General features: G+C 33.0%; 1 long non-coding RNA gene and 1 pseudogene across 1 annotated transcript; one reads left to right on the forward strand and one right to left on the reverse strand.

Moving 5' to 3' along the window:
- The window catches only part of LOC100996316 (putative ankyrin repeat domain-containing protein 20A2), a 32,857-nt pseudogene extending 27,036 nt beyond the window's left edge, over nucleotides 1–5,821 (forward strand).
- Nucleotides 2,904–9,698, reverse strand: LOC124905337 (uncharacterized). The gene is made up of 2 exons (XR_007068558.1): nucleotides 9,543–9,698; nucleotides 2,904–9,348 (listed from the first exon to the last, which is right to left on the reverse strand). It is a non-coding gene; the product is annotated as an uncharacterized LOC124905337 (long non-coding RNA).
- Nucleotides 9,699–10,335: the final 637 nt, after the last annotated feature.

Consider the following 10,335-nt stretch of genomic DNA (forward strand, 5'->3'; position numbering starts at 1 on the left):
GAGAACATCAAAAATATAGCTAGAAGACTTACAGCAAGATATTTCAAGGTCACCAAGATATCACATATATACATATGTAACAAACCTGCACATTGTGCACATGTACCAGAACTTAAAGTATAATAATAGTAAAAAGAATGAGGTAGGCATGTTACAAGTAGAGCTCCTGGCTTTGGAGAAACAGAAAGTCCAACTTCAAAAAGACAGAGGTTCACTTGCTGCTTCTTTTTTCTCTTTATCAATTATTTGATTTAGTCAAATTTTCTATTCAAGAAAATCTCATGTGTACAGTTACAGCGGGGTTTTCTAAATGTGTAATTATGTGTCAAAGTAGATTAGTCCTGCTATCTAAACAATGGTTCTGGAGAATGTTCTCATAATGTTTCTTCATTAATCAACCTAAGTCTCACTCTCAGTCTTCCAAGTGGCATATGAGCTGGGAAACTAATTCAGCCATATACCACGTGACCTTCTGAATGAGATCAACATAAAGAAATTGCTAAAGAAATAAGCTTTAGATTCTAGATTCTTTTTTCTGTATTCATTTAGAGATGAATTACATTTATTTAATGATAGAATGGGAATACAATGGGAGGGAAGCAATGACTGAGACGAGCCACAAAAACACGTCTAGCCTTGAGAGTTGCAATGAATATTCCCAGCCAAATGAGTCTGTTTAATGTATTTTCATGCATGCAAGTTCATCTGCTTAGCTCAAACTGTTTGAACTTATAGTTCCATCATGGTTATTTCCAATATTTTGAAAACAAATATATACTTCCACATATTTTAAAAAATCACCACTCCAATATTTCTGTTGAATCAGTCCTTACATTATGTTGTTTAATAAAGTATCATAAGTTTTGGCATGTGTGATTTTTATCATGTAAGAAGCATAATTTCTTAGATAAAAATTTATCCTTTGATTCTTTAGTAGAAAGTTGAGTTCTGTACATTGTGTCCTAAAGATAGACAAAATCTAGAGATTTTCTTCTTCAAAGTAAAAGCAGATGAGGCCTTTTTCCACCCTCTGAGGCGTTAAATTGCTTTGCTCAACTTAGACTTTTAATATATCTGACTAATTTGATAAATTTATTTGGTAATTTATGTAATTCAGCAATATGGAATTGTATCATGTTATTTGGTGCCATGAAATGCTAGAGAATGCCACCTCAAGAGCTCTCGATGAAACATTTCATATGTCTTTGTTAGTTTGACTCCCATTTTCAGTAGATAATGGGGCTAAAGTAGATAACTGTACCGTATGTTTTCCACCTATAACTTTTCTGATAATTGAATGTGAAATCTGGGAAGCATGTCGTTTTCCAGAATTCTGCACTGGAAACTCAGCAGTTTCACTCTGCTTCTTGTGTTGTGGCAAACTTTGGTTCCCATAGTTCAGGGAGAACTTTCACTTTTTTGATATCCCAGAATTAAAAAAAAAAAGAGATAAAAGGCAATGGGGAAAAGAATAGCTCAGTGTAGAAAAGGGAAAACTTCTTTACTGTTCCTGAAGCCCTACAAGGTCACATCCTCTTAATCTGGCTATTTCATGTAAAATCCAGGTGGCAATGACAGAAGATATATGTTATGCCTGTGTCTTTTTATTTCTCTGTTTCTGCCAGTCAGATAACATAAATATTTATATCAGATAGCAAAGAGTGGATGGGAATAAAAGCACAAAATGGAGAAGAGTCCTTTTTGAAATTTTGGAAAATTCTTCTATTCACTCAAACAGAAATGAGCAGACTTGACAAAAATTTCAATGATAAAATGATGAGTATCTTATAATTATAATAATTATGTATAATGATAAAATTAAAGTAAGCACAAAATATTTTTATCATTAAAACGGTGATAGTTAACCTGAATCAAGTGAAAAAATCAGGGAAAAACTTCTTTTTATTGAATAAAATAATAATTATTATTCATATTACTTTTGTTAAAGGTCAAAGAAGGAAATAATACAAACAAAAGTGAAAAAATACAACTATCAGAAAATGTATGTCATAGTACATCTGCTGCTGCTGCTGACAGATTAACCCAACAAAGAAATATTGGGAAAACCTATCCTCAGCCTTTTACCAAGAAGCTGAAGGAAGAGCATCATAGGTAAGTAAGCCTATAGCAGTGTTTATTTATTTATTTATTTATTTTTTGAGGTGGAGTTTCTCTCTTCTTGCCCAAGCTGGAGTGCAATGGTGTGTTCTCACCTCACTGCAACCTATGCCTACTGCATTCAAGTGATTCTCCTGACTCAGCCTCCCTAGCAGCTGAGATTACAGGCGTGTACCACCATGCCCAGCTAATTTTTTGTATTTTTAGTAGAAATGAGGTTTCACCATGTTATCCAGGCTGGTCTCGAACTCCTGACCTCAGGCGTTCTGCCCATCTCGGCCTCCCAAAGTGCTGGGTTTACAGGAGTGAGCCACCGTGCCTGGCCACCTATAGCAGTATTTCGCAGCAGACAATTGTCATTGTGCTATAAACTAATTCAAAATTGGACTAATATTCCTTATGATTAACAAGTTTTATATTTTTACCAGAGATATTTAGCCCTGCCTGGTAATCAGAAAAGTGCAAATTAACATAAAATAAGATATATTTTGTAAAGTCATGCTGGTATTGAAAAAGTAATTACTACCATTGGCAAATGTGAGGAAAAAGGCATTCTCATACACTGTTGGTATATGAAATTGGTAAATTATTTCTGAAGGGTAACTTAGTGCTGTGTATCAAAATTTCAAATAACCTGACATCTCTTTAACTCAACAACTCCACTTCTGGGACTAGATTTCACAGGAAAACATAACTTGTGTAAACATACACTTATTAAGGGCATTAATTATATATTACACATAATGAACAATAGCTTAATAAATACATAAAATATATGTAATAAGAAGGTGAATTGGAAGTATTAAGAAAGAATTATAAAAAGTGTGGGGTAACAGATGTTAGACCCTTTAGCCTAGTTTTAGTTGACAATCATCTGCAGATATAGTTTGTGTGAGAGACATCTTACTCTGTAAATCATTTGGAGAGACACCTGCAATATTTCATAAAGATGAAAATTTATTTCTAGTGAACTTATACGCTTGTCAATAAATAGTAACTTTAAAAATTTAGTTGATTGTAAATGACCTTTTCTAATCGGGGAGTAATTATGACTGTGTGATTTGAAAAGGTAATTTTGAAATTCTAACTATACTGAATTATCTCCAGTATCCTTTTTTATAATATATGCTAGAGTGACTAGTAACAAAAACTTCAGCAGAATATTCTTTCCTTACTACTTTTCAAGTATATGCATTCTTTTGAAGATGTTGAAGTGAGAGATTAAATATCTGAGAACTAAACAGGAAAAATAATTCAGAACACAGAAATTTTATTAGGATGATAAAGAGCATCTGCAGAGGTAGATCACAGGATGAACTCTTTATTTTTTAACAAAATGAGTTTTAAGATAAATGTCTTTATCTGCAGATGCATCTTAAGATAAGAAAATAAAGAAAAAACAAATGTTAATATGCTGTACAAAAAAATAGAGAAGAATTAGAAAGGAAAGAGAAACAACATAAGAAAGAAGTTGAAGCAAAGCAACTTGAACCAACTGTTCAATCACTAGAGATGAAAACAAAGACTGCAAGAAATACTCCAAATCAGATAAATCAATCTTTGGTAAAAATTCTATATTTTAAACTATTTTATGAAAGTTTCTTCTAATATTCTCTTGATTTAATATATAATATTTAGATCTAAAACAAACCAGAAATGTTATCTCATTTTTAAAAAATGAATGATGCCACTTACAGGTACAATTATTAATATTTATTATAAATCTTGGCATCCACATAAGATATTATTTTATAACAAAGAGCTTTTGAAAACAATAATATGCCATAGTATATACTTAGTGATAACCTATTGATAAAGATTCTGTTCCCAGTAAAATTGTTCCTTGTACTTTCCCCTATTTCATATTGATTACTGTACCTAATATTATAAAGAGGAAACAAATTATTGCAATCACAAATAATCTCATGATATTCTAAGAAGAGCTCTATAAATTTTATCTTATTTACCATTGGTGTTTTGAAATAAAAGTTTTCTTCCATATGGATATATTTACACCACAGAAGTAACTGTGATATGTCAGAGAACTAGAAGTAGAGTCAGAAGTCCTGGGGAAAATCCTGTAGCTTGCTTATATTTTTAACATTTCTTTTTCAAAATTGTGATAACTAGATGAGTTCATCAATGAATGTATATAGGAGTGACTAGTATAATGTCTAGATTTATGATTTAGTAAATGTAATTCTTACAACTGAATATAAAAGTGTTAAAAGAGTCAAATTGAAATAGAATGTTATCAGCGAAACAGAACTGTAATAACTCTGGGAAATTTTATCTGTCCAAATACGTGTGAACCAAGGTTCTTACTATAGGGTGTTGTATGGGTTAGATATCAAAGTGTAAATGCAATTTTTTGATATATTTTAATTTAGTCAAATTTGTTAATGCTTTAATTTATGCTTTTCAGTTTGTTGTAATTCAAGGAAAGGCTTTTCCAATTCTGAAATTCTTAAAAATTCTCTGGTTTGTGTGTGTGTGTGTGTGTGTGTGTGTGTGTGTTTACTTTTATAAATTCATTGACTTTAAATAAATTTCTGAACTTTTTGGAATTTATGCTCTATAAGGTTCAAAGTGTTGCTTCAACTTTGTCTCCAGTTGGATATCCACTTACAGTAACCTTTTTAGTGTATGGATGTGCAGGTTATTCTTTAACTTCAGAGGTAATCACGATATTTTATTGAGTACTAGCTAAAACTTTCTTTAGTTTTATTTAGGATTTTCATAATCACGAAGAAATGAAAGATCTGATGGATTAAAATTGCATTTTGAATACAGATATTGCTATATTCAGACAGGAAATGTGCACAATGAAAAATGACAACCTGGAAAAAGAAAATAAATAACTTAAGGAAGTTAAAATTGTTAAAGAAACAAATGCTGTCCTTGAAAAGTATATAAAACTCAATGAGGAATTGATAACAATAACAGCATTCCGGTATCAACAAGAGCTTAATGATCTCAAAGCTGAGAATACAAGGCTCAGTTCCGGACTGTTGAAGGAAGAAGAAAGCAACAAAAGACTGGAAGCTGAAACTGAATCTTATCAGTCTAGACTGGCTGCTTCTATAAGTAAACACAGTGAAAGTGTGAAAACAGAAAGAAACCTAAAACTTGCTTTAGAGAGAACTCAAGATGTTTCCGTACAAGTAAAAATGAGTTCTGATATTTCCGAAGTAGAAGATAAGAATGAGTTTCTTACTGAACAACTTTCTAAACCACAAATTAAATTCAATACCTTAAAAGATAAGTTCCTTAAGACAAGAGATACTCTCAGAAAAAAGTCATTGGCTTTAGAAACTGTACATAACAACCTAAGCCAAACACAGCAGCAAATAAAGGAAATGAAAGAGATGTATGAAAATGCAGAAGCTAAAGAGAATAATTCCACTGGAAAGTGGAGCTGTGTAGAAGAGAGAATATGTCAACTCCAACATGAAAATCCGTGCATTGAACAGCAACTAGATGATGTTCATCAGAAAGAGTATCATAAAGAGATAATAACTAATATCCAAAGAAGCTTTATTGAGAGTGGAAAGACCTCATGCTAGAAGAGAAAAATAAGAAGGTAATGAATGAATGTGATCATTTAAAAGAAAGTCTCTTTCAATATGAGAGAGAGAAAGCAGAAAGAGTAGTAAGTATCAAGGAAGATAAATATTTTCAAACTTCTAGAAAGAAAATTTAAACATTTGGTTCTGGATACATGTTGAACTTAGTTGAATATAAAAATCAATAGATAAAAAGTGTGTTTACCATACTGTATAATTCCATGTACGTGAAGCATCCAGAAAAGATAAACGTATAGGGACAAAAAGTAGATTAATATTTGCAAAGGGCTGGGACTAGAAGCTGGTAGTGACTGCTAATGGGCATGAGGGATCTTGCAGTGATGGAAATGCTGTAAAGTTGGATTGTAGAGATGGCTGCACAACTCAGTAAATGGACTAAAAATCTTTTAACTTTAAGTTAAAACAGATACATTCTATAGTATGTAAATTATATTTCAACAAAGCTGTTTTAATAAAAAAAGGAAAAATGTGTTTACTATATCAGCTTAGAAACATGCCTCATTTCTAGGAAATAAAAGGTAGAGATGAGAGATGATTTACTTTGAGAAAAGACATTGTGTCACCTATGAAATTTTATTAGGCACAGAGTCATATTTTAAGATAGATAGTTCTGTACTGCTGAAATAATTTTAATGACTTTATGTTGCCACATGTTAAGACCATAATGTAGGTATAAATGGAAATGTTTACACCTGAAATGAGTATTTTCAAATTAAAATTTAATTAAGTGATTTCCTTCGACACTTAATTCTAGACTTCCCAGATGAACTGAAGTGTATTGCTGTGTCTTGTAATACCTTGCTTTAAGTAGTTTTTTATGTGTTTTTTTTTTTTGGTATATCTTTGTTATTATTCATATTAATTTTAAAAATCTGAAAATACTTCAAATTACATATTTTTATGACTACGTAATGTTGTAAAGGCACCTACATGTCATAAAATCATAATTTAGAATGAATGTAATAATTAGCAAAACTATGTTTGATTTAGTTTTGCCACTGGTATTTATAGTTTACTTTGACTATTTATATTAATAATTAGCTCATAATTTTTATTTCAAGGCTCAATGACTATCATTGGAATATAATTTTGTTCAGTACAAAGATACTTGTAGCTGCCTGTGATTTATGAGTAAGGCATTAGATCCCCATTTTCAGACTGAGGGGTGGCAGGCTTCATGTACAGTGGGAATGGAGTAATTACAGGAAGGAGTTGTAGGAGCTTTGAAGTCAGAGAGGGAGGTAGAGGACTGTTTACCTAGGGCCTCAAAGGCCATTGGAATTTCACTTTTATCCTGAGATAGGAATCTGTTGGAAGGATTTGAAAAGGTGATTGAATATGTTAGGAACTTTGAGGTTGAGTTGAGCTTCTAAGATGATTGAATGGTGGGATGAACCTGTTGTGTAAGTAAGAGAATACCAATTTGGCAGGGAGTTAAATATTATTAACATAATTTAATAATAAGGCAATTTATAAAATCAGTAACAAAAATATTTTCTCAGGTGGTTGTGAGACAACTTCAACAAGAAGCGGCTGACAGCCTAAAAATATTAACTACGTTAGAGTCTCCACTGGAAGGTATGTCACATTATCACATTAATTTGGATGAGACACAGGCCCCAAAGAAGAAATTATTTCAAGTGAAAAGTCAAGTGTGTATGGAATTTAACATGTCAACTCTTATTCTGTAGCTAGTTGAGTTTATATAACGTGTTTTAGGATACTAATTTTGGCAGAAGCTTGATTTTTTAGTTTCATTACAATGAATTATTTCCATTTTACTATCTTTATAATGTACTTATTTTTTTATATTGTGACTTTCATTCTACCATTTTGAAAAACCATTGCATACCTTTTCTGTTACAATATGTACCCTTGGAAAAGTGGAGAATTATATATCATTCCTCATAGAAAACTTACTTTTTTCCTGTAAAAACAGTATTTTTAAGTAATTTTTGTATTGTTCTGATGAGGCAGGCCAGATTAAATCAGAGGAGAATATTTCATGGAAAGTTCCAGAAAGTTGTCTTATTTCTTCACTTTCGTGAATGGACACAGAATCTGTGTCTATTTATTTCACAGATTGCAGGTTAACTTGTACAGAAAGGCCATTATACTATTCTTTGAAATGTGCATGTTTTAGGTTAATTTACAAACTATTTGAAAATTTAGGCATTTTCTTTATCTTTAATTTAAAATATACTATAAAACTCTAAAAATATTTAGATTTGATATAGCATGTAAGTCAAAAATTGAGAGTTGAGAAAATTATCTTGATCCTGCCTTTGGATTTTAAAAACAGTTTCACTGAGATATCATTCACATTTGAGAGAGTTCAACCATTTAAAATGTACAACTGAGTATCTATTAGTATATTCACAGCATTTTCATCACCCTGAAAAGCAACCCCACATCTCCTAGGCATGACTGCAGCCTTCCTCCATGTCCCTCCACCTACCTCTGTTGTAGGCAACCACCATCTATCTACTTTTGTCTCCATATATTTACCTGTTCTGTATATTTCGTATACATAGCGTTATACAATATGTAGTCCTTTGTGACTGGCTTTTTCACTTAGCATAATGCTTTCAGAATTCATGCATGTTTTAGCACACATGAGTAGTTTATTTCTTCTTATAGTTAAATGATGTACTATTCCATGGCTATACTGGTTTTCCATTCATTCATCAGTTGATGGACCTTTAAGTTAGTTTCCACTTTTTAGCTATTATGAACAATGCTGCTGCGAACATTCACTTACAGGTTATTATGTGGACACGGGTTTTTATTTCCCTGCCATTGGACTTTATCCTCAGAGTTAATTGGGCAGATTTCAGCACTTGTCTTGCTCATGCTATCCTTTCTGCCTTCTCAGTTTCTGTTCATCTAGCCTCATTCACTCAGACGTGGCAGACAATTTATTGTTTTCATGAAGCTTTCTCTGACTGTTCTCTCTTTGACCTTATGTGTTAGCAATCGTTGTCTAGTCTGTGCAGAAAAACTTAGTCCTTAATTTTACATGGCTTTTATTTTTTTATGGAAGATAATTTTCTCTCATTATAAATTTGCTTAATGGGGGAATAGTATCTAATATGTATGTCACCTATCCTTGCATACATTGAAAATATTTTAGCTTAGAAGTTTGTAGCATAGAATTCAATACTTCTTTATACCATACCAATTATTTATTCTTTGAGACCTTGACACAGTAAGGTTTATATTCTAAGTGTATTTTTAGCAATTAAATATCAAAGCCAACCCAATTAGTCTAATACAGGAGACTCGTTCAATCACATGTTTATGTTTTTCTCTCTATGAAAAAGAATCTAAATTGGCCTTTTTTCACTATGCAGCAGAACTGTGTTTCTGGACCTCTACCAGTTTGTCAGCTGAGCAGTTCTGGCTGCAGCTTGTCTGTTGACGGATAGCACAGCCCCTCTATCTGAGTGCTCAGCAGAGTGCTTGTGAAGGCAGCACCACAGCAACAGTTGCTCAGAGCGAACGGATTCAGGAGCCTCAATTTAGCAATAGAGTCCAGGGTTTTCAGCTCAGTGTCTTTAGCCTGTCTCTGCTGGTCATGTCAGTTATGTTCTATTCAATCCAGGAGGTGCTGTTTACGTTGTAGTACATATATAGTCATTGCCTAATGAGTCATACAGAAAGAAAAGTAAGTTATAAATTATGTCCCCCATTTGCTGCAACTCTCAGTGGTAAGAATGATTCAGTGCAGCTATAGGAGAATACTTCCATTGGCATGCCACCTGCCTAACTTACACAATTTTGTTAAGATATGCAATAAAATTATTATGCTAATAGCAAATATTTTATGTAGCTCACTATGTTCCACGTAGTCTTCTAAGTGCTTCATGTTAGTCCCAAGTTAAACACCTGGTTTTGGAAGGCTGAGGCAGGAGGATCGCTTGAGCCCAGGAGTTTGAAACCAGCCAGAGCAATATGGTGAGACCCAGTCTCTAAAAAAAAAAAAAAAAAAAATTAAACACTTAGCTGAGGCATGGTGATGCATGCCTATAGTCCCAGCTACATTGGGAGGCTGTGGTAGGAGGGTCGTTTGAGCTTGGAATATTGAGGCTGTAGTGAACGGTGATCAAGCCACTGCACTCCAGGCTGGGTAACAGAGGGAGACTCTGTCTCATAAATAAAACATTTTCTATAGATTCCCATAGAAGTGAGTTAGACATCAGTCATAGAATTATTAGCCACTTTGATGTCTACCTTGGGAGTAAAACATATAATAAGGGGCAGCTTTAAACCATCTCAATCAATAGCCTCCAACTTCTTGAGAAGGTTCTTATTTCATGAACTTCTAAACAAGAGACTACCTGGATTAAGACATTTGGTGGACACCATTTTGAGATGAAGAATCTTGAGTGAGAAGAAGGGAGATCTCTACTTACTGAAGCTTCCCAATGACATAGTTAAGTGTCCCCCAAAAGAAACTATAGAACAAGACTTTCATCATGCCACATCTCTATGGAAAAGGAATTTCTTTAAAAGAAAATAAAGGCAAACAATTGATAATCTGATTCTCATGGGAAAGTTTTCATTATAAAAGAAAAAGAGTGCTGGGTGCCGTGGCTCACGTCTGTAATCCCAACACTTTTGGAGGCTG

Source organism: Homo sapiens, unplaced genomic scaffold (genome assembly GCF_000001405.40).
Source record: "Homo sapiens unplaced genomic scaffold, GRCh38.p14 Primary Assembly HSCHRUN_RANDOM_CTG28".
NCBI classification, from domain to species: Eukaryota; Metazoa; Chordata; class Mammalia; order Primates; family Hominidae; genus Homo; species Homo sapiens.